We start from the raw sequence: 24,986 nt of genomic DNA, 5'->3' as shown, positions 1-24,986 counted from the left end.
TCAACCTCTCCAGTAATTAGGGAAATGCTGAACAAAATAATAATAAAATGTTATTTTTCACCCACAAGATGGGTAAATAAAAAGAAAATGATTGATAATGACCAGGATTGGTAAGGATGTGTGAAAATTGATGTGCTCAGATATTCTGGAAGTAGAAATTAGTTCAACATTTTTAAGGAGTTGGCAATATTTACTTAAATATGAAGAGCATATGCCCAACAACCCAATAATGCAGTAATTCAACTTCTAAGTTTCTCTCCTACAGAAATATATGCTTATGTGCACAAAAACACATGTACAAGGGTAGCATCTTTTTTCACGGAAAAAAACATCTCCATTAAGAGAGAGATAGCTAAATAAATTATGGAATACAATACTGCCTAGTTGTTTGAAAAAGTTGTAGATCTCAGGATCTACATCTGCAAAGAAATATGTCTGTTATATTCTTTTTTTAAAAGATAGAATTGGTGTAATTTTAATTGAGAAGAAAAGCTTTGTCTGATATATTCTTTAGTTTAAAAAGCAAGCTGGAGAATATTATGTATGGTAGGATCAACTTTGTAATCCTGTTTTATTTGTGTGTGTGTTTTATACTATTTTGTGCGTTGTTCTCTGTTTACCCCCTACCTCAAGGTCTTTAGTAATTTCTTGCTTCATGAGTTTTACAGGGCAGAAAACAGAAGCTGTTAGAAGTCAATAGGTCTTCCTGTATTGTGTAAAATTCCAGATCACTGAAGAGATTACACTAGGGCGTGCCTTTGAGAGTCAGAGAAGAGAGAGAATGCCTTATGGTAACAAGTAGCAAGGGAAAGCAAGAGATTTCCCTATGACTAAAATGGAGCAGGAGGCAGGGGCTTAGACAAGATAAGAGGGAAAATTCATATTGCTCAAGGAAGTAGCAAACTTCGATGAGGGTGAAACCCGATGTGCCCCAAGAGAACAAGGTACCTATGCTTGTCAAGGCTGCCAATGCCCTGCCTCAAACTTGGCACAGCTTCAGCAAAGCCACCTGACCTGAAGGGACCTTGTGGGCTCACACAGCAGATGAAGACCTCCTTGGCTGGTATATATCCAGGGATCTTTGTGCCATTCTGGGATGGGGGAAGCCCCAGTGATGGGAATGGGGGCTTGGATTCAGATTTAATTAGATTTTTTGTACAAGTAACAGGGGCTAAGACCATGCAATGGGGGAAAGGATAGTCTTTTCAACAGTGGTGCTAGGAAAACTGAATATCTGCATGCAAGAGAAAGAAGTTGGATCCTTACCTTATACCATATATAAAAATAAACTTGATGGATCAAAGATTGAAACGTAAGACAAAAAACTATAAAACTCTTAGAAGAGAACATATGGGAAAACCTTCATGACACTGGATTTGGCAATGTTTTCTTAAGTATGGCCCCAATAGCAGAGGTAACAAAAGAAAATGTAGATAAATTGGACTTCATCAAAACTTAAGACTTTTGTGGCAGACAATTTCACAAGATAATAGCAACAGTGAAAAGGCAACCCATGGATTGGGAAAACATATTTGTAAATCATATATCTAATAAGGGATTGATATCTAGGATGTATAAAGAACTCCTACAACTCAACAACAAAAAAACTAACCCAATTAAGAAATGGGCAAAGGACTTGAATAGACATAACATCTCCACAGAAGATATGAAAACAGCCAAAAGGCACATGAAAAGATGCCTGGCTTCACTAATCACTGGAGAAATGCAAATGAAACCCACAATGAGACACAACATCACAATCATTAGAATGGTTATTATAAAGGTATGAATATTGGTGAGGATATGGAGAGAAATTGGAACTCTTGTGCATTTTTTATGGGAATGTAAAATTGTGCAGCCACTGTGAAAAACAGGATGGCAGTTGCTCAAAAAATTAAACAGAATTGCCATATGATCCAGCAGTTCCACTGAGGCTACACCCAAAAGAACTGAAAGCAGGGACTTGGACAGATATTTGTACACTCATGTTCACAGAGCAGCATCATTCACAAAAGCCTAAAGGTAGAAGCAACCCGTGTGTCCAAAATAAACCATACAATGGAATGTTACTCTGTCTTTAAAAGGAAGGAAATTCTGAAGCATGCTACAACATGGATGAACCTTGAGGACGTAAGTTGAGTGAAATCAACGAGTCACAAAAGGACAAATATTGTATGATTCTACTTATATGAGATTTAGGAGTAGTCAAATTCATAGAGACAGAAAGTGTATTGGTGGTTTCTTTCCAGGAACTGGCAATGGACAGTTATTATTTAACAATTGTTTAACAAAGTTTCGCTTCAGGAAGATGAAGAAGTTATGGAGATGTATGGTGGTGATGATTGCAAGACACTGTGAATGTACAGTCTCCAATTTACAATGGTCTGACTTATGATTTTTCAACTTTGTGATGGTGCAAAAGTGATATTCAGTAGAAATCGTACTTCAAATTTTGAATTTTGATCTTATCCTGGGCTAGTGTGTGCAGCGGTGTACTCTCTCATGATGCTGGACAGCAACAGCAAGCCACAGCTCCAGTCAGGGGCACAATCACGAGGGTAAACAACCGACACTCTGCGGCGCACTGGGTTGCCAGCATTTTTGGGATATGATTTTGCCCAACTATAGGCTAATGTAAGTGTTCTGAACACGTTTAAGGTAGGCGAGGCTAAGCTATGACGTTCAGTATGTTAGGGGTGTGTGTGTGTGTGTTATCTACATATATAGATAGATACACATCTAACATATATATGTATACACACACACACACACATATATATATATATGAGAGAGACAAGGTTTCTCTGTTGCCCAGGCTGGAGTGCAGTGGTGCAATACTAGTTCACTGCAGCCTCAAACTTCTGGGCTCAAGTGATCCTCCTGCCTTAGCCTTCCAAGTAGCTAGGATTACAGGAGCATGCCACCATGCCTGGCTAATTTTTAATTTTTTTGTAGCGATATGGGTCTTGCTATGTTGCCCAGGCTGGTCTGGAACTCCTGGGCTCAAGAGATCCTCCCTCCTTGGCCTCCCAAAGTGCTGGGATTACAGATGTGAGTCAACATGCCTGGCCTAGGTGTGTCAACTGCATTTTTACCTTACAATATTTTCAACTTACCACGGGTTTATCAGGACATAGCTCCATAGTGAGTCAAGGAGCATCTACACTTAACACCACTGAACTGTGTGCTTAAGGTGAAAACGGTACGTTTTAAGTTATGTATTTTTATCACTGCCAAAAAAAAGACACAGGAAAAAAGGGAATATAACATTTCGTGTGACATCTGACTAGGGGGAATAAAGTCTACAGATTTCCTAGAATAAAACGGTAGACAGCAGATTGCTCACAGTTTCTCACTGGGAGAAGAAGAGAAATTGCTTTCAGAGAAGGGCAGAAACCTTTAGTTTCACTCTCATGCCTCTGTTTTGTTTGAATTTTTGACACTGAACATCGATTACTTTTGTGATTTTATTAGAACACAAGACCTCTCCAGTTGTGCATGAGCCCACTTCACCCCATCTCACCACAGCCATGCTACCAGGTCCTGCAGACCCTCGGGCCTCCACACTCAGGCTCCTTGGCCCCTAGACTTGCACCCCAGCTACTGATTCATCTCAGTCCTTCACTGGCGACTCACTCCACTGGAGCGCCCACACAGGCTGACGCAGCACAGCCGCGTGTCTCTGTGGGTCTCTGGCCCTTCTCCCAGCTTCTTCCTGTGCTTGCTCCTGCCACAGGCAGCAGGAGCTGCAGCAGCTGCCACCACCACACCTCTTCAGCCTCTGGTGGCCAGGTCCGGCTCTGCATTACAGAAAGTTGCCTGACTGTAAAAAATTGATACATAATAGATGCACATCTTTTCAGGGTACATATGATAATTCGATACATTCATATAATGTGTAAAGATTAAATTGGGGTAATTGAGATATTCATTGCCTCAAATGTTTCTTTTCTTTATGCTAGGAACGCTTGAATTATTCTCTTCTAGGTATTTTGAAATGTACAATAGATTAATGTTAACTATAGTCACCCTGCTGTCAAACACTAGATCTTATTCCTGCTATTTAGCTGCATTTTTATATCTATTAATCAACTTCTCTTCATCACCCTCTCTCCCCTTCCAGGCCTCTGGTAACCACCAAAGTACTTTCTATCTTTAGGAGATCCACGTTTTTAGCTCCCACATGCAAGTGAGAACATGCAGTATTTGTCTTTCTGTGCTTGGCTTATTTCATTTAATGTGATGGCCTCCAGTTCCATCTATGTTGCTACAAATGCCAGGATTTCATTACTTTATGGCTGAGGAGTATTCCATCGAGTATATGTACCACATATTCTTTATCCAGTTTGTCCCTTGACAGGCACTTAGGTTGATTTCATATTATGGCTATTGTGAACAGTGCTGCAGTAAACATAAGAATGCAGCTATCTCTTTGCTATACTGATTTCCTTTCTTTTGACTGTGTATCCAGTAGAGGAATTGCTGGATCATATTGTGGCAGGCCAGGTCTTGCTAACACAGGCCTCCATAACAACTGTTTCAGTACTGACTGAGTGGTTAAGTTAAATATTAAAAGCTAAAAAAAAGCCAGTGCCCTTATACAAAGGCTGGAATGTTGCAAAAGCCCACCAAGAGTTTTGCCCAGGCCTTTCCTGAACCTTAAAGCATGATTAAACAAGTTTTATTAGGGGTCTGAAGAAACTCCCCAGCCCTCCACAAACAAGTTTATTGGGGGTCTGAAGAAACTCCCCAAACCTCCATGATTTAGCAGGAGACAAGGGAAGAGTAATCACCCCAGCACCTGGACCCATTTAGATTAAGGAAGTTTACTGAGGCTCCAGAGGAAGGTCTTCAAGACTCAGACCTTAGTTACAGATTAAAAGAAGTTAATCACTTATGTCTTGAGATGAATGCACACTTACACGTAGACATACAGCTTAGAAGGTATATTAGCTCTGGAAACCTTTGTAATTTTGAGTTGGTCTGGCGACAATTTCCAGGCCTTCTCCCTGTAACCAGTTACAGAAATAAAAACTCTCTTCCTCCCCAGTTCATCTACATCTCGTTACTGGGCCATGAGAAATAGCAGCCTGATCCTCTGTTTGGTCTGGGAACAAAATGGTAGTTCTATTTTTAGTTTGTGCAGAACTTCCTTACCATTCTCCATAGTGGCTGTACTAATTTACATTCCCACCAACAGTGTGTGAGGGTTCCCCTTTCTCTGCATCCTCACCAGCATGTTATTGCCTGTCTCTTGGATAAAGGCCATTTTAACTGGAGTAAGAGGATATCTCATTGAGGTTTTAATTTACATTTCTCTGATGATCAGTGCTGGTAGGCATTTTTCATATACCTGTTGGCCATTTGTAGGTCTTCTTTTGGGAAATGTCCATTCAGATCTTTAGCCCATTTTAAAATCATATATAGATATAGATATCTAGATATATATATAGATATAGATATCTAGATATATATATAGATATAGATATCTAGATATATATATAGATATAGATATCTAGATATCTATAGATATATATATATATAGCTATTAAGTTGTTCTAGCTCCTTATATATTCTGGTTTTTAATTCCTGTCATATGAATAGTTTGCAAATATTTTCTCCCATTCTGTGGGTTGTCACTTCACTTTGTTGATTGTTTCTTTTGCTGTGCAGAAGCTTTTTAGCTTGATGTAATCCCATTTGTCTATTTTTGTTTTACTTGTCTGTGCCTTTGAGGTTTTACACAAAAAAACCTTTACCCATACCAATGCCTGGAACGTTTCTCCAATGTTTTCTTTTAGTAATTTCCTACTTTATGGTCTTAGATTAAAGTCTTTATGACATTTTGATTTGATTTTTGTGTATGGTAAGAGATAGGGGGTCTAGTTTCATTCTTCTGCATAGGGTTGTCTGCCTGACATCTTTTGACAACCTCTTTCCCTGGGTCTGGTCAAGTTGGTTAATAGCACATTTCTCCTGCTTGGGAGAAAATATCATTAGCTTAGGCATTTCTGGACAGCAATCGTGGAAAACATACATCGTTCAGAGCTTTGATACATGGAGCCCTCTAATCAGAAGTTGTGGCCCTTTGAGGTATTGGAGCAACTTACAGAAGCAATGGCCAGCCTGGCTCTAAGTATGAGAGATTATAGGGTGTCACTTGTTGGGATGGGTGTCATCAGACAGAGGGTTTGGATGACACAAGAGGCAGTCTAAAGTAGGTTGTGTGTGAAAGAGAAAATCTTCTTCTCCCATTTTCCATGTCTTATTTTCCTCTGCAAGTATCAGCTCACTTCAAACACTGTAACAACCTGCATTGCTTGACAGAGCACAGTGAGAGTGGAGCAGGGTGGGAGGAGTTGATCTGAGACTGAGACCTTTCATTTCACATAAAACTGTTGGTTTTGGGAGATTTCCTCCCAGCTTCTCCCAGTGAGTTCCTGCTTTCTGGGGATATGCTGCTTGACATCTTGGCATTTGAGTCCCTCTCACAGGAAATCTTCAAAGTCACACAGATCCCACATTACCAACCAAGGGAATGCCCAGCATCCTATACAGAGGGAGTGCCTGTGGCTGGTCTCCATTCCAGTGGGAGGAATTGGAGTTGACATGGTGGTAACTCACATTAAGTCTGGAACAGCTGTAATGCCAGGCTTCTGCTGCCCAAGAGGAAAGATATGCTAGGGTACACCACCTCTGTTTCTGATGGAGCCACCCTCCATGACACGGGACACATTTCTCTTTCTTCTCTGCCTCTTAGAAGTCATATAACCTCCAGATGGTTTTTTTTGTCTCTCCTAATCTCGGTTTCTTCCTGAGACATGCTGTGGGGGCACTTCTAGAGTGAGGATTAACGGAGAGCCAGGTGCCTGCTGGTGCATGGCAGGTACTCAACAGCCTAGCAGAGATTCAGCCCCCTACTCTCGCCATCTGGAAAGCCACTTTTCAAATTGTTGATGATGCTTTTCCACTATAAGACCTGTAGGCATACATAAAACTGACATGTAAACTCCCAAAGAAGAAGAGAATTTTTCTTCACACTCTCATGAGACAAGATTAAATAAATAGAAACATATTCGGTCTCCAGCTGCAGCAGAATCTGGCCAAGGTGTCCTCCCCCTTGTCACAAGGAGACTCCCTAACTGTGGCTCTGGTGCCCCGTTTTCCATGTACCCCATTTCCCATATGCCATATGGTGCCTTTATAAAGTTTCACATTCTTCAATTATAGTGTTTAAAAGGGAAAACATCAATTTGCTTCCCTTGAATTCCTGATTAACTAGAATGATCTCTCCATTTGCTTTTTAAAATTTTGTTTTATGTGGTAAATATACATATGTATTAGTCTGCTCTCACACTGCTCTGAAGAAATACCGGAGACTGGGTAATTTATAAAGGAAAGAGGTTTAATTGACTCACAGTTCTGCACAGCTGGGGTGGCCTCAGGAAACTTACAATCATAGCAGAAGACACCTACTCATAGGGCAGCAGGGGAGAGAAATGCAGAGTGAAGGGGGAAAAAGCCCCTTGTACAACCACAGACCCCAAGAGAACTCACTAACTATCCTAAGAACAGCATGGGGGAACGGCCCCCATGATCTAATCACCTCCCACAACACGTGGGGATTATGGGAACTACAATTCAAGATGAGATTTGGGTGGGGGCACAGCCAAACCATATCAACATAACATAAAAATTTCCATTTTAACCATTTTTAAGTATATATGTAGTTCAGCGGCATTAAGTTCTGTGGCATTCGCATTGTTGTGTGACCCTCACCACCATTCATCTCCTGATCTTTTTCATCTTCCCAAACTGGAATTGTACCCATTAAACACTCACTCTCCATTTCTCCCTCACTCAGCCCTTAGCAACAACCATTCTATTTTTCATCTCTATGCATTTGACTTCTCTAGGTCCCTCAAATAAGTGGAATTATGTTTGTCCTTTTGTGTCTGGTATATTTCACTTAGCGTAATGTCTTCAAGCCTCATCTGTGTTTTAGCACGTCAGAATTTTCTCCATCCATTTTTGCAAAGAGAAGCTTGTTCTCCGTCGCGGTTGTTCATGCTGCTTTGTGCCGTTAGTTCTTTGTTCCCTTTCACTGTCAGGAAGAGGAAGACAGAAGGAGCATGACTGATCCACCCAGGCCTTCACATCTGTGTCCCTCTGAGCTGCCTTTTTCCCAATTATGAGGGTTACCTTGGCAACTAATCGCTTCTCTAATTCTTTTTAAGGTTGTGAACAGATGACCAAATTACAAGGGCAAAAGATGGCAAAGATTGAGCATACATGTATGGAAGGGGACATTGTAATGATTTTACAAAATACAAAATGATTCTGATGTGTTTTGTACATTTCATACTTAATTTAAGAAATATCTTTGAGCACCCAACCAGGCACTGTGCTAGGTGTGGGATACAATGGTGAGCAAAAACAGATGTAGCGTACATTGAACCTGCAGGCTCCAGGGGGACAGACATTGATCCAAATAATCACAAACGCAGCTCAACTGCTTGGAAAAAAGACCACGTTTTTATAAAGCATAGTCCAAAGGCCCCAGCCTAGACTATGACATAGGAAAGGTGTCCCCAAAGAAATAACACATGAACTGAGACCTGAAAGATGAGTGAGATTTGAGCGAGGAGTTTGGGAAGAGACAGAGGCAGCTGGATGTAGCTGAGGAAGTGTTCAGCATGGTGTGAGAGCAGATAAGACATTCGTCTGCTTCCTAGAATGATCCAGCAACTCCCTGTGTTTCCTCTGGGAACAGAGGACAATGTACCTTGCCTTTTGGCAGGTAGAGGCCAAGGTAGGGATAACACTGAGCTGGAAAATACCTTTTTTGGGGTTTGGTCTGTTCCTTCCCTGGGACAATATGTTTCAGAGGCAGGATGCTAGACTGGTCTTAACCATGTCAGTGACCTGGAGTTGAGGCAGTAGGCAAGGTGAGAGCTGGATCAGGGGTGGGGGATCAGGATATATATGACTGGCCAGGTGACCCCTGGGAACATGGAAGAGAGGGTCCAGCTTTAGGGAAAGATGGGAGCCAAGAAGTAAAATCACAGTCTGGGCTTTAACCATCAGCTGGTGCTTAGGGCAATGCATTCATAGCTGAGGGCTTTCTGGAGGAGACAGTCTGGGTTGGGGCTAGAACAGCATTGTGGCCAGAAGGCCCCAGGACCATCATCAAGTTATATAGAAAGACCACCCTCAGACAGAAAGTTTCCCAATGATTCACTGGAAGGACTCCCAAAACTCAGGTTATACTCATGGTTACAGTTTATTACAGTGGAAGAATACATATTAAAATCAGCAAAGGGAAAAGGCACAGGGGTGAAGTCCCGGAGAGACCAGGCATAAGCTTCCAGGTGTCCTCTCCCACTGGAGCTGCACAACAGCACTTACTTCTCCCAGCAATGATGTGGCACAACCTATAGGAAGCATCGCCAATCAGGGAGGCTCCCTCAAGCCTTGGTGTTCAGGGATTTTATTGACAACTGGCCATATAGGCATGGAATGCTCATGTGGCTGATCTCAGTTATTCAGTCTCCAGTCTCTCCAGAGGTCACACTGATACAGCATAGCCCAAGGCCCCCACCAAAAATTGGATTGTTAACCTATACTGTCCAGCATGGGCCAAGGCCTCAGGTGTTCAAAGATACTGGCATCAGGCAGGATATTCCAGGGCTTGGAATTTGTCTCCCAGGCTGCAGTCAAGAGCCAGTTTCTTTGGAATCTGCAGGGTTGGGACAACCTAAATCTGCTGCACTAACCCTTTACTGCACAAATATGAATGCTGACTTATGGCCAGTGCAAGATATTTGAGAGGAACAACTATCACAAAAAGAGAAAATGTGCCTTTGATAATTATCATCCTTTGCAAAATTCTGGTTTGCTTTTCCCTTGAAACTTGGTTCCCCACTGCTTCTGAAAGGCCATGCCCAGCTTCCATGTTACTGTTGCCAGATCCCCTCTACCTGGATGACCTACATCCATGCCTGTCACCTCACCTGGATTGGGCTGCATTGGGGAAGAGAAGGAGAAATCAAATCAGCCATGATCAGATATGTTATTCCCCACTTTGTAGTCACTATGAGACTGGGCTGGCTCTGCAACGATGCATACAGAAATCTGTGGGTTGCTCTGAAGGTTCATTCCAGCACTTGCTGTACACAGCTCGCAGATGGTGTTTGCAAGATGTTTTATCCCCCACCTTTGCAGTTGCTGTGAAACTAGGCTACTCACTGTCTCCCCTCCGCTCGCAGCATACCCTCCAACAACACCCCCCTCCACCACCAAATAATGCTTATTTTAGCATTGAGAAAGTTTTCTTTATTAATTACAGGCCTCAGCATTTTACCAACCTGCTTCCACTTGCAACTTCTTAAAGGCAACTGAGCAAAGAGGACAATTATTTTCCCTGTGAATGTTTTAAATAAATTTTAACAGACCAAATGGGTTTGAAACAGAATAAAAAGAAATTTTCACTAGTTCTTCTTCCCCACTCCCCAATTCACCAAACATTCCTGTCATGCATGTTATTGTTGTCTCACCTGGCAGTGAGATAATTTTCAGTTACAAATAAAAAAGTGCCTATGAGTTTGCCATTTATTGTGTCTTCTCTTTTAGGCACAGTCTTCTAGGGATACAATGTCAATCACACAAACTACTTCAGTTGTAGGAGTCTCTGTGTTAAGACTTTTTGGTACCTAAAATTGTTTCACATTTTCAGCCTGTCAGTAGGGCTGCGGGTTAGCACTATGCAGAGGTGACGTTCTGCACACTGGTATGGTGAGCTGGTCACTGTCCCTCTGTTTAGTTACTGCCCATGCCTACCAGTCATTAAAGACTTGGACTGTCACATCGCACTCTTTCTAGAAAGCATGAGCCTAGGAGGCCCTGAGTTACACCCTGTTCAGTACACCAATTGTAAATTCTAAAATAACAAGATCTTCCTCATTCAACATTAGCAGAACAAAAGGCTTCACTCTAGGTGCCCTGCGCAGACTCCGGAAGAGTTCACAATTCCAGAGCACTTCATGAAATCACTCTTAGTATTTATGGTGACCTACTTCTTGTAGAGTTTTGTTTTAGAGACTTTGTTCACCACTTGCAAATATGTGTATATCCACAGCCCCAGCACGTGTTATGGTCCAGATTTGGTTGCTTGTTGTGTGATGAGGATGCAAGTCTCCTCAAAGGCATGTTCCTATTCAGGGCTTTAAGTTGTAAAGGACGAAAGGCTATGGGGATCTCTGCAACTGTGAAGTGAAGAATTCCCTACGCCAGCACTTCTCCAACTCATGCTCTGCAGAAGGGGGTAGGTACACTGAAAAGAGAATTCAGGCTCAAAAGCCTTTGGGATATACTGGGTTGAGCAGGCTTCCTTATTTCAGGGCTTTACAGAGTCTTTAATATACTCATATAGATTGCAAATATGCCAGGGAGCCATAGCATGCAAAGTTTCTAATATATTTGGCCCAAGAATATAGCATGTGTGTGTGTGTCTCACAATGTCCAGCTCCTAGTCCTGCATATTATTACTATTATTTGCATAAGTGTATACAATATATGATATATAATATTGTTATTTGCATAATTTATGTGCTATAAAATGTACAACTGGATGGATTTTACTCCTAGGTGTAACATCTCTGTACCACCAGCCAGATCAAGACACAGAACACTTCTGTCTTCTCAGAAAGCTTCTTCATGTCCCTCCCAGTCAATGCTTCTATGCCCTTCCCTGACTTCTATCACCATAGACAAGTTTTCTCTATTCTTGAGCTTCATAGAAAGGGAATCATAATACACTAGGTAATCCTGTGTCTAGCCTCTATTGCTTAACTTGCTTCAAGATTGAGCCATATTGTTGCATGAAGCAGTCATTTTTTTTCCTGTTTTTGTTTGTTTGTTTTGAGAGACAAGGTCTTTCTATGCTGCCCTGGCTGGCCTTGAATTTCAGGGCTCAAGTGATCCTCCCACCTCAACCTCCCAAGTAGCTGGGATTACAGGTGCTTGCCACCACACCCAGCTGAAGCAGTAGTTCTGAAACAATAGTTTTATCCCTCTTTGTCACAGTCCCCAAAGCAGGAAGGATACAGAGGACCTATTAGAAGTGACTTCATGGGCATGTTCGTTGCTCTGACGCAATCACAGGAATCAACCTGTATATAAGCACCCACCTGTGGTAACAAGAGACTTACTTTACAGTGAATTCATTCCAGTATTCCTCTGTCAACTGTGAAGCAAAACTGGAGGCCTTTCTTTGTAAAATTTTAAACACTTTTAAGTTTTTATTTTTGTATTTTCTTTATTGGGAAGTCAATGTTGTGTTACATCTTGGGACACCTGTACAAACCTTAATTAGAAAATGAATAATCCTTCATTTTCTCCCTCATATGCTGGGGGAATGAAAATGAGTGTAAGACAGTAAGGCAGAGAGGTGAGCTCAAGGTTATTCACTTGCTCCAACAAATATTCAATAAACATTGATTGAATGCCTAACACCATACTCAATTCTAGTGACTAAAAAATAGAAAAATAAATGGTCATTACCCTCCAAGTGCTCAGAGGCAAATAGTTAAAACTGGCACCGAGTTCAGTGTCTTAATGCACTGTGTGTCCCTACCAAAGGATTCTATTTCTCATTAGTGGTCCTGACTACACAGTAGTACCATTATCTGATGTGTGGCTGTCCCCAACTAGACCTAAGTGAGAGGGGACTGTGTTTTATTTATTTTTGGCCACCAGCTTCTTCAAAATGCCTGGTTTATTCAACGAAGCCATTCCACAATGAATGAATGAATGAATGAATGGTGGAAGAAATGGCAGTGTCCTCATCCTATCTCCACTGGTTATTAGCCATGTAACCTCGGACACATTCTGTGACTGGCCCTCACTTGTTTTCTAATCTGTGAAGTGGAGATAGCCACACTTCTTTTGCAGAGTAGTTGGTAGGATTGAAAAGGCTACTTTGGTGAAGACTATCCTGGGCTGACAGTAGATGTTCAGAACTATCAGAACATGAGGAAGAAAGTCATGAACTAATGGTGTCTTCTGACCCATTGTAGACTGAAGGAGGGTGGACATCTAGGGGTTTCCAGCCTGATGACCTTTGTCCTCCATAAAGGAGGTCAGCCACTGAAGTGGAGGTGGACAGGTGAGCAGTAGAGGCTGGGACAGCATGGGGGTTATTTGGGGAAGTTTCACCATTGTGCATGAGAGTCATACACGAAAGGTTTGTTAAGCTGTAACTTACAGAGTGGTTCCATTTTCCCCAGCTGAATTCACAGGAACCGTGGGGAGTGCTGCCTGGAGTTGAGTGATGGAGGTGACAGGCAAGGTGGAGGGACAACAGGCGTGGAGAGCCCATTTACCCAAGAGGAGTGGCTGAAGCATTTACCCACCCTGAAACAGGGTGTGTAGGGAGGGAAACAAAGTTCGTTAAGGCCAAAGGACAGGCTTTCTAGAAAGAAGGCTTGTGAAAGAGTTGCAAGGACATGAAGATTAGAGTGTGAGAAGGTCCTCCGAAATTTACATGTTGAAATCCTAACCTCCAGACCTCAGCAAATGACTGTATTTGGAGACAGGGTCTTTAAAGAGGTAGTTAAGTTAAAATGAGATAGTATGGGTGGATCCTAACCCAACACAACTGGTGTCCTTACAAGAAGAAGAGGTGAAGACACAGACGCACTCAGAGGGAAGACCATGTGAGGATATGGGAAGACGGCCATCTGCAAGCCAAGGCTAGAGACCTCAAGAGAAACCAAGCCTGCTGACACCTTGATCTTGGACTTCCAGTCCCCAGAACCTAGAGAAAATACATTTCTGTTCTTTAAGCCACCCAGTGTGTGGTACCGTGTTATGGTAGTCCTTGCAAACTAACACAGGGGGAGATGATGACATTTAGGACATTAGAGTAGAGGCAATTCAAGATCTGGTAGGAATTTGGGAGTTGCAGGGGGACAGTGCACAGCTGTCACTTGCACCATATTTTAAACTCTTGGAGAAGTCACATTTTTTTTTTACAGCTTTGTTGAGGTACAATTGACATACAATGAACTGCATGTACGGTTGGCCCTTGGTATCTCGGCTTCGCATCCCTGGAGTCAACCAACCAGGGATCAAAAATATTTTAAAATAAATAAATAAAAAAACACAAATTTAAAAACAATACAGTATAACAATTATTTACATAGTGTTAGCATTGCATTCAGTGTTATAAGTAATCTAGAGATGATTTAAAGTATACCAAAGGATGTGCATAGGTTATGTGCAAATACTATGCCATTTTATTTCGGAGGTTCAAGCATCTGCAGATTTTAGTATCCACAGGAGGTCCTAGCACCAACCCTCATGCTATTGAAGAATAACTGTATTTTAAATGTACATTTTGATAAGTTTTGACATAAAAACACACACAGACACACACACACACACACACACACACATATATACCCATGGAGCCATCACAATCAAGATAAATGAACATATCTATATTCCTAAAAGTTTCCTGCGCCTCTTTGTAATCTCTCTCTTATGACCCACCCTGACCTCCCTCCCATCCCCAGACAACTGCTGATCTGCTTTGTGTCACTATAGTTGTTTTCATTTTATAGAATTTGGTATAAATGGAATAATATAGGAATAATATGATATGTACTCTTTTTTGTTGGTCTGGCTTCATAATAAATTGCATCTCAATCATCCCTTTATACCCAGGGCTAAGCATGGTCACCCAATCAATGAACCAACAAATATTTTAGAGTGCCTGCTAGGTACTTGGTTTTGGCAAAACTATTCTAGATACATAATAGTTGTTTAATAAATGCTTGATGAATAATTCAGTGAATCCAAGTAGCATAGACTCTATTTTTCACTGAGATATAATTCATATACCATAAAATAAATCATTTTAAAGTGACCAGTTTAGTGGTTTTTAGTATATTTACGAAGTTGTACAACCATCATTGCTATCTAATTTCAGAACATTTTCTTCACCCCCAAGAGAAATCCCATACCCAATCCAACTCACTCCGCGTTTGTTCCTCTCCCCAGCCCCTGGCAACCATAAGTCTACTGTCTCTATATAGAAGGGTACTTACTCTGGGCATTTCATATAAATGGAATCATATTGTGAAGGTTGTCAGAATCAAAATGGAGTCACTTTTGTCAAAAGCCTCGGAATTAGAGCCAGGGGGATGTCCAGGAAGAGCAGGTTCTCACACACATACGTGATGATAAAAACTATCACGAAAGACTCTGCGAAAACCACAGCCTTGCACAAAGGCCACCACAGCTTTACACATAAAAAGCATTTCTTCAAGGACATCTTCCCAGCAACCGCCTGTCCAACCTTGAACTGGCACCACCCTTGTTATTGATCCTTGTAGCCTAAAATAATTATTTCAAAGTAAATTATATGATCCTCTGCATTTTTCCTTTAAAAACCTGTGTCTTCTTTTATCTCCCCAAATATATCTGCTATATTCCCATTGCAATGCTTATTCTCAAACAAATATCTTTTATTTTTCAGAGTGTCTCTCTCTGTCTGTTATTTAGGTTTTGACATAATTTGGTGTCAGAAGTAGAATTGAAGCTGGTTAGTTGGACAGATGGACAACCCCTGAAATTGAGTGAATTGCCTGTGCTGAGCCCTTTTGAGCTCTCCACCTCCGTGGCTGACCTTTTCTACCCTGCTGAATCTCCTCTCAGATTCCTGGACTCCTTTTTGGTGAGTTCTTTTGGCTTTATTTGGGATCTATTTTGGTTATAAGGCTACCTTAAATTTAAAAATCTTACATTTCTCTTGGGACTATAGAAGTCTTTTCTGGCAAGCCCTTTCTGGTATAAAGACGAGTGTCTTTCTAGTTTGAGTATTTTGGTTTCTATAAAATTTGCATTCTGTCTGTGAGTCATGTCTTTTCTTGTAAATTTACTTTTTTTTTTTCTGCTGACCTGGTTTAACATTTTCTTTGATCTGTGTGCCTGGCTTAAAAGTTTTGTGAGCACTGTTATTTTGATTTCATTTTGATTTGGTTATGCATGTCTGTAAGTAATTTGGCTTTTTTACATTTTTTTCTCTCTGTTCACTTCTGAAAATCTTCTGGTAGCAAAGCATTCAGAATAGTGAGTGCAGAATAGCCAATGAAAAGCTGATGCAACTATTCCAAAGACTGCATGAAATTTACAAAGGTGTGATGGTTCTGATGTGATACTGTCAGTCACGATTCTGGTTATCCTGAATGCAATAAAAATAACTAATTTCCTCATCAATTGTGAGCTCACATTAGATTTTTAGCCATGACTAACTTAAGCTTTTGTCATCCACAGTTGCTGTTTTTACTTTTCTCTAAAAGCATTTATAATCAGTTGTAATCCAAAATTGCTTTTCATGGAAAAGACTCTAACTAACAAGTAGTCGTTAGTTTTTTATTTTTATTTTTTTGAGATGGAGTCTCCCTCTGTCACCAGGCTGGAGTGTGCAGTGGCATGATCTCAGCTTACTGCAACCTCCGCCTCCCGGGTTTAAGCGATTCTTCTGCCTCAGCCTCCTGAGTAGCTGGGATTACAGGCGAGTGCCACCACGCCCAGCTAATTTTTGTATTTTTAGTAGAGATGGGGTTTCATCGTGTTGGCCAGCATGGTCTCGATTCTTCACCTTGTGATCTGCCTGCCTCAGCCTCCCAAAGTGCTGGGATTACAGGCATGAGCCACTGCGCCTGGCCTGCAAGTACTCTTAAATACAGGTTCCTGATAAGTTTTATATCAATGGACTAAATAAATATTTTTGAACTCTAATAAAACTGATACATTCATAAAACTACTCATCAAGATCAAAGAGAGCAAAAACTAATTACATAAAATTGAATAAGTAATAAAGAAAATGTTCCTATGACTTTTATGTGGAACATCATTGGTTCTCTGCTTAAATGTTTTGCTTTCCAAATTTAAGGAAACTTTTTCTCTCAAGCTGTCTATAGTTTACAGTAATTTGATCAAGTATACTTTTATAAACAAAAGTGTAAGCATTCACTTTTTCTCCCTACTCGATCTCTCCAAAATTTGGAAACTATTCATGAATATTTTTATTTTTTATGACAACATAATTGTTTGCATAAATTCAATAAGGATGTGCTGTGTTTATAACAGGACACAACTGAAAACATTAGTTATAGTACCAAGGTTTTGACTGGGATGTCATAGTTAAATTGTTTATAAGTACTACAGGTGGAATCTGAAGTCTGCCTTGGATTAAGCTTCCTAGCTTAAAGAGGTTTTAAAATCTGAGATTCCTGTGCAGTCAATTACTATCCTTGTTGCACTTACGTAAATGATCAGACAAAAATCGATGAAACTAAATTTATTTTACAAACAAATTTGTCTCACTCTGGTTATCTCTGGTAAAAATGGGGAAAAAAACTATAAAGCAAAAAATTATGTTTCCAAAAACATATGTATTACACCTGTTAGTCATGTGCATTATTTTCAAGTTTTTATTCCCTACTATACACTGGCTAGATCCTGAATTCTTCTAGGTTCCTCCAATCAACTTTTTTTCCATGGAATTGCTAAAAATGGGAGCCTCTCTGTTTCTGCAGCCCTATAAACTGAAATTAAATTTTAAGGGACAAGTTGCCTTTCTGATGGTTGGGCTACATGGCAAGTTCTCCAGACCACCTGATGCCATAACCAAAGACATTCCAGCAGCAATCCAGGACATAATGTTGCTGGCTTCATGCTATGGACAGCTTTTCCCAAGGTGACAAAACAAGAGCCCTCATCGTAGTGAGACTCTAGCTCCTCTTAGTTTTTTCTCATTTATGCCTATCTCTTTCACTTGGCAGGATAATCATGTAATTAAAGTTTCACAGATACTACTGGGGGTACCTTGACAGAATCTGACCTAAAAATATTTAGTCCACCTAATGAGTAACTTTAACTATCCTCAATACATCTATTGCTCATTCTGCTTTAATTCAACTCAGTCAGGAGATACTAGATGATAGAAATACTCTGTAGTATCTATTGGTTAAATAAGAAAATGTCTGTGCTATTGCTAATATTACATGCTGTACCTGGATAAATTTCTCTGGGAACATTGAGACTCAAATACGCAAAATAATAAAACAGGCCACATCATTACAACAGGTCTCATCTAACTCACCATAGTCATTTGATTTACTCAATTGGTTGCCTTTAAGCCTAGACTCGTGGCTCATAATTGTTATATAAACTGAGATTATCATATTACTATTATTTTTACTTTGTATTTTCTTTTCTTTTCCTTTTTTTTTTTAACTTTGTACCCGTTGCTTGTCAAATTTCTACAATACAAATCCTAACAAAAGAATGCTAGCCCAGCACTTTGAGATGATAATCAATGTTTATGGAACAGACAAAATTCAACTTAACAATGGACTGCAGGTAGGCTTGAAAGCCACTCTTTCAGAAATTCCCTGTGGCTCAAATGTGGCTGAAAGAGTTTTGACACCGACTCCTAGTTGTCAATCACTCCCTCCAGTGTGGGACCAGACCAACCCATGTCAGGTCCATTCTGGCACCAAAATATAACCAAAACCTAACTACAGGATTATTGATCAGCAATGCTTTCAGGGAAAGATCTCAATCAAAAGGGGGAATTGTAAAAGTTCTGAAAATTAAAATAAGTCACTGTGTGAAAATCCTGACAAATAGAGCCAGCGAAAGCCATAAAGGAAAAGATCTCACACATGTCTATCTGGTAACAAGAACTATCACAAAAGACTCTGCAAAAATCACAACCTTGCAAATGGGCCACCACAATCTTACACAAAAAAAGTGCTGCTGCAATGGCATCTGTCCAGCTACTGCCTGTCCAACCTCGGACATGTGCTGCCCTTGTTTGGATCCTTGTAGCCAAGGATAATTGTTTCAAAATAACTTATGTAATCCTCTTCATTTTTTTTTTCTTTTAAAGCCCTTGTCTTCCTTTACCTTCCCAAATATGCCTACTGTATTCTTATTGCATGCTTACTCTGAAATAAATATCATTTAATTTTAGAGAGTCTCTCTCTCTCTCTCTCTGTTGTTTAAATTCTAACAACACAATATGCAGTTGTCTTTGTCTGTCTTCTTTCATTGAACTAAGGTTTCCAGGGTTCATCAATGTGTAGCATGTGCCAGTAGTTCATTCCTTTTTATGGCTGAATATTATTCCATTATGTAGCTATGGCCCATTTTGTTTAGCTAGTCATCAGCTGATGATGGACTTCTGGCTCTTTTCTACTTTTTGGCAATTATGAATAACCCTGCCATGACCGTTCAAGTAAAAGTTTTCTGTGAACACGTTTCAATCCTTGCATATACACCTAGAAGTGAAATTGCTGGGTTATATGGCAATTCCATCTTTAACTTTTTTTAGGAATAGTCAAACTGTTTTCCAAATGACTGTACTATTGTACTCCCACCAGCAATGCATAACAGTTCCAATTTGCCCACTTCCTCGCCAACAATTGTTACTGTCTGTGTTTTTTATTCGAGCCATTTTAGTGGGTGTGAGTGGTTTCTCATTGTGGTTTTGATTTGCATTTCCCTGAGGAATATGTTGAGTATGTTTTTATTTGCTTCTTGGTAATGCAAGCTCTTATTAATCTATTCATTCATTCATGTATTTCAGTCCCAGCTTTATCAGTTATGTGTGGTCTTGGACAAGTTATTTTACTTCTCTGAACTCAGTTTTCTCATTCATAAAGTGGAAATAATAATCTCTATCTTATGGGATTGTTGAAAGGACTAGAATGAATATATGCAAAGCTCTTGGTAGAAATTGAGAACTCAATGAAGACAGAAGAGATGTAAGTCAATATGATGAGTAAGTCAAATGATGCTGGAGTTGGGTCTTGGAAGGAAAACAACATTCAAATAGGTAGAGGTAGAAAGAAAAGAGATTCCAACCAGAATGAGTGTGAACAAAGAGGAAGCCACAGTACAGTGGGATGTGTGCAATTACTGAAAACTTTGCATAGATTTGGCTAGAGTAGTAGAGTTCTCCTTCAATAGGAGCAGTGGCAGAAAAAGGACTGGAGGGAAGGATGGACTCAGACACAGAGGGCAACAAGATAAGGGCAAAGGGTGTGTGTCTCCTTGGAGGCCACCATGTGCTGCCCTGCTATTGTCTGGGGACTGGGTGAAAGTCAATATTGCCCTGCTCAGGACCAAGAGACATTGCTACCATTGGCACTGCTTGGATGTTCCTGATGCTCCCAGAACCTCTGTCACTTAGGAAATTACAAGGGTTTAGATACTTTGTACCAGAAATGAGGTAAAAGCCAAATATATATTTATTTCTCCTTATATATATATAGAGAGAGAGAGATGGGGTCTTGCTTGTTGCTCAGGGTGGTCTTGAACTACTCCTGGCCTCAAGCAATCCTCCTCTTGGCCTCCCAAAGTGCAGAGATTCATATAGATAGATAGATAGATAGATAGATAGATATAATACATAAGAAATATATCTATTTTTTCTTGTTTTGTATTATAATCTCCTATTATTTTTATCTGACCCATCAAATTCTGCTGGAAGGATCTGGTATCATACCTTAGTATGGACTTATCCAGTGAGTCCCTCTGTTATTTCTCTGGAGGTATCTTCACCCTCAGCAATCCTCCTGAAAGATGCTCATCCTGATTGCAGCACTATTCACAATAGCAAAGACGTGGAACCAACCCAAATTCCCATCAATGATAGACTGGATAAAGAAAATGTGGGACATATACACCATGGAATACTATGCAGCCATAAAAAGGGTGAGTTCATGTCCTTTGCAGGGACATGGATGAAGCTGGAAACCATCATTCTCAGCAAACTAACACAGAAACAGAAAATCAAACACCACATTTTCTCACTCATAAGTGGAAGTTGAACAATGAGAACATATGGGCACAGGGAGGGGAACATCACACACTTGGGCCTGTCGCGGGGTTGGGGGCAAGGGGAAGGACAGCATTAGGAGAAATACCTAATGTAGATGATGGGTTGATGGGTGCAGCAAACCACCATGGCACATTTATACCTATGTAACAAACATGCATGTTCTGCACATGTATCCCAGAACTTAAAGTATAATAATAAAAAAAAAAAACTAGAGAAAAAAAAAGAAACCCCAGACCCACTGATTAGAATGCACCATTTTCCCGGATCCTGTTGGCAAGGGGTACAAGGAAGACATCAACAATAAACAGGATGACACATGAAATATGATTCATTCAAACACAAAGACACTGTGGTTTCTCTTCTCCCAGCTTGTTTAACAACATCCTGATTCACAAGCACCCTTTGCTGGTGCTGCTCAGTGTGGAGGAAGGCATAAGTTTGGGGGACAGATACAGCAGACTCTGCCTGTGACCACTGTCACCAGGGTTGCTCTCCAAGTTTTGTTTTAGAATCTACACCAAAGATGCACTATTCACACATTACACCAGCAACAAGCAGTTTAAAGCCTGAGCTTGTTCCTGTGCCCACTTAGGTTTTCTGATTTTAAGTGGGGCCTGGAATGATACATGTGGCTGCTCTGTTGAAGGATGAGGAACAGAGGCTTTTACAAGAGTTGACCTCTGCAGAAAATCAAATGCCTCTTTTCCTCACAGGTGGCCAAACGTCCAGGATGAGAGTTCTGTGGAAACAGAAGACAAAAATACAAATATGTCCAGGAAAATGCTGCCAGCGGCACAATATCTACTGCATTTCTCTTTCAGGGCTAAGGAATTGGGTTACTTTGTGCCCCGCCTCTGCCCGCAGGGAAGACCATTCCTGGATTTACCCTTCGAGGGAGCAGTAGAAGCGGATCTGGCATGAAGTGGGGGACACAACTCCCCTTATGCTCCCAGCACATCTCCTGGGCTGAGGCCATCTCAGATTGGAAGACCAGCTTTCCAAAGCAAGTCTCCTCCACATCATGAAGGAGAAAAAGGTGAAACATTTGATGTCCTGATGGTAATAGGATCACAGGCTCTAAAACATGAGGGAGGTGGGGCTGGACAAAGTCTTTAGGAGACTGCTGAATTGTTGACTTTATTCCAAGTCAGGATCCCGAGTAATCACTGAGCCTCAGTATAATTATATGCACATGAGAAGCTATTTATTTCTTGCATTCTGCTTATCTTTGCCAAGAAAACACTCCTCCCCCATGCCTTAAAATGCCCAGAGACATGGTTCTGGATGAGCCACTTGGAGGGCTAAGGGCACCTGCTGGCTGAGGCCCATGAGAACACACCAGCCCTGTGGGGAAAGTGTGGAGCTCATGTACCCACTGCCCTTTCCCTGCTCAGAGCAGGGCATCCCGACAGCAGCTATGAATGCACCTGCTCTGAGCATCTCCCCGCCAGGCTCTGTGCACTCCATCAGGGTCCTCTTCTGAGCCTGGCACTGCTCACCTGGGCAGAGAGTCCACTCAAGCCCCAGAGTCCTTGGCTTCATTGGAAGTTCCTCCTGGGAGCATCAACACAGCCCTTTCCCCCGTATCCACTGGCTTTTGGGGAGCTGGGCCTGGGAAGCCCTTTTCTCTCCCTACGCTGTATTCATCCTGCCAGCCAAGCTGGAGCCTCTGCATTTTTTAGTCCAATTATTGGCAGCTGTACAGGTTTCCCAGAACACCTGGCCCTCCTCACCCTCATTCTGTGGCATTATTTAATCAAACTGGCTAGGAGTATTTATAGCTCCCCTGAAAGGCAGCAGCCGCTCCATTCCCGGGAAAGTGGAACATTGAGACATTAAAGAGTATTTTCAAAAGAAAAAAAGTCCTCTCACAGACTCATGATGTTGCCATCCCAATGTGTCTTCCAAAAATAGGCCTCCCGGACAGCTCCTCGGTGCCACCAGCTCTCTCCTCTGTGTACTTGCCACCTGCCAGGCTCAGAGTGAGAAAGCTACCTGCTACTGTTCCCAAATGGTCAGTTCTAATTCTCCAGCCCTCCTCCCAACCCAGAAAATCCCAATATTCTTCCCTGGGTAGATGTCCCTTTGATTAAAAGAGATGGAGCCAAGGGAAATAACTAAATCACAACTAAACATTCCCTCTAGTGCAAGGAGTCAATGATTCTGGATACTCTGCCACTCTGTTCTCCATGGGAGCACCAAAGCCCATCTTAAATACAACCTCTTTCATGCTTTAAGACTTATGGAAGGAAGCCCAGGCCCAATGATTTGCTCAAAGTCCCAAATGCTCTTTGGACTCAAGGCATTCTGGTGGAGCATCAGACAAATGTGTGGCTCTTGGCCAAGAGCCAGGGAGCACAGAAAACTCTGAAGCTGGGGCAGGTGCATGCTGGCTAGGCAGAAACAGTTACAGACCTTTGGAGATGAAGAGCAACTGAGAAGGTATGGTTGGAGAGCCTGGGGCAATAGAGCTAAGCATGGGGTTCCAAAGCAGACGATGCAAGCTCTCACCCCAGCTTCACCACTGTGTGTGATCTCAGATAAGTGACATGTTCTCTAACCCAAGTGTCTTTATCCTATGCAGATCACATTTTTGTATTACATAAGACAATCCAGACACCGTGCCTGACACACAGGAAGCATGTATCATGGGTTAGCACAATGTTAAAGAAGAAGAAACTGAGATACAGACCCTTTGAGAGGCTTGTCCAAGGCTACATGGACCCAGGATCAGAACTGAGTCTCCTGGTTTCCAGTCTGAGATCTATTTATTATTATTATTATTATTATTACTTGTGTGTGTGTGGTACCAGGAACCTCTTATAAGAGAGTTAAACAAGACAAGTGGTCAAGAGTTTCAGGCATCAGTGAACACTCAGGAACTGAAGTATGAAGAAAAAATTATAGAAAGAGGAGTATATACTCAGGGAAACTTGAATCTATGCTCCCAGATTGTAAAAAATAAAAATAAAAATAAACCACATAAAGGAGGAAGAACCAAGAAGAACCTTCACAATTCTGGGAACATTTTGCTTCAGCCGGGGAGCCCTCACATTTTCCTATTGTGTTGAAAGCCAGTCCTCAAGTTGGCTAATCTGAGGCCTGCAGGACAGAAAAAGGGGACACCCCAAACTGCAGGGGAAGGAAGGTGCCACTGCTTCCAGGCTGTTCCAGGCATAGGGAGGTAAAGAGGCTGGCAAACATGGGGCATCAGGCAAGAGCTAACAAGCTAGAGAGCGCAGGCAAGACTAAACAGAAAACAAAGAATAATGCAGACAAAGGGACAAACGCTGTATGATTCCACTTGTATGAGATATCTAGAGGAATCGAACAGTAACAGGCAGTAGAAACGTGGTAGCCAGGGGCTCATGGGGAAGAGGAGTTAGTGTTTAATGGAGACAGAGTTTCAGTTTGGGAAGATGAGAGTTGTGGCAATGGATGGTGGTGATGTTTGCATAACAATGTGAATGTACTGAATGCCACTGGACTGAACATGTAAAAATGGTTAAGATGTAGATTTCATGTTATGGGTAATTAACCACAATAAATAATAGATGATAGATAGATAGAATTTTACAAGACAGAACTGCAGACCAAGGAGTATGGTACAGACCTCAGGGGTCTGTGCAGCCTGGGAGGGGATAAATCATTTTACACTGAAGAAACCAATAACAGTTTCATAAAGACAATAGGACTTTAGTTAGAATTTTGTATTAGATAGGACCTCTTGGTTGTAACTATAAAAGACTCCACTCAAATTAACTTAAACACCAAAGGGTTGTTTTTTGTAAGGACTGAGTAGTAGCCTATAGACCCAAAGCTGAACAACTAAAGTCAGAAGAAGGAGAAAGAAGGGCATCTAGGCTATCCGAAACAGTGACTTACAGTCTTGTTCTCTTTAATTTTTGCCTCTCTCTGGGTGTTGCCTTCATTCTCATTTATTGTAGACTGGCTTTCCCTACGAGTGGAAGATTTAAAAATTTATCCCTGCTGGGTGCAGTGGCTCAAGCCCGTAACCCCAGCACGTTGGGAGGCTAAGGCAGGCGGATCTCTTGAAACCAGTAGT

The 24,986-nt window shown here is 41.3% G+C and overlaps 2 long non-coding RNA genes across 2 annotated transcripts in view; both read left to right on the top strand.

Annotated features, from left to right (window-relative positions):
- The window catches only part of LOC107985357 (uncharacterized), a 53,351-nt gene extending 32,905 nt beyond the window's left edge, over window positions 1–20,446 (top strand). Inside the window, exons 2-4 of the long non-coding RNA XR_007066934.1 lie at window positions 15,568–15,739; window positions 17,544–18,432; window positions 19,664–20,446. This is a non-coding gene — a long non-coding RNA (uncharacterized LOC107985357). The remainder of the gene's footprint in view (window positions 1–15,567; window positions 15,740–17,543; window positions 18,433–19,663) is intronic.
- Window positions 20,447–20,752: 306 nt separating this feature from the next.
- On the top strand, window positions 20,753–22,127 carry LOC105373165 (uncharacterized). Its single transcript, XR_949260.1, has 2 exons — window positions 20,753–20,793; window positions 21,742–22,127. It is a non-coding gene; the product is annotated as an uncharacterized LOC105373165 (long non-coding RNA).
- Window positions 22,128–24,986: the final 2,859 nt, after the last annotated feature.

This window comes from Homo sapiens, chromosome 1 (genome assembly GCF_000001405.40).
Source record: "Homo sapiens chromosome 1, GRCh38.p14 Primary Assembly".
NCBI classification, from domain to species: domain Eukaryota; kingdom Metazoa; phylum Chordata; class Mammalia; order Primates; family Hominidae; genus Homo; species Homo sapiens.
Note: the sequence above shows the minus strand (reverse complement) of the source record. Positions and strands in the feature narration are given on the sequence as shown.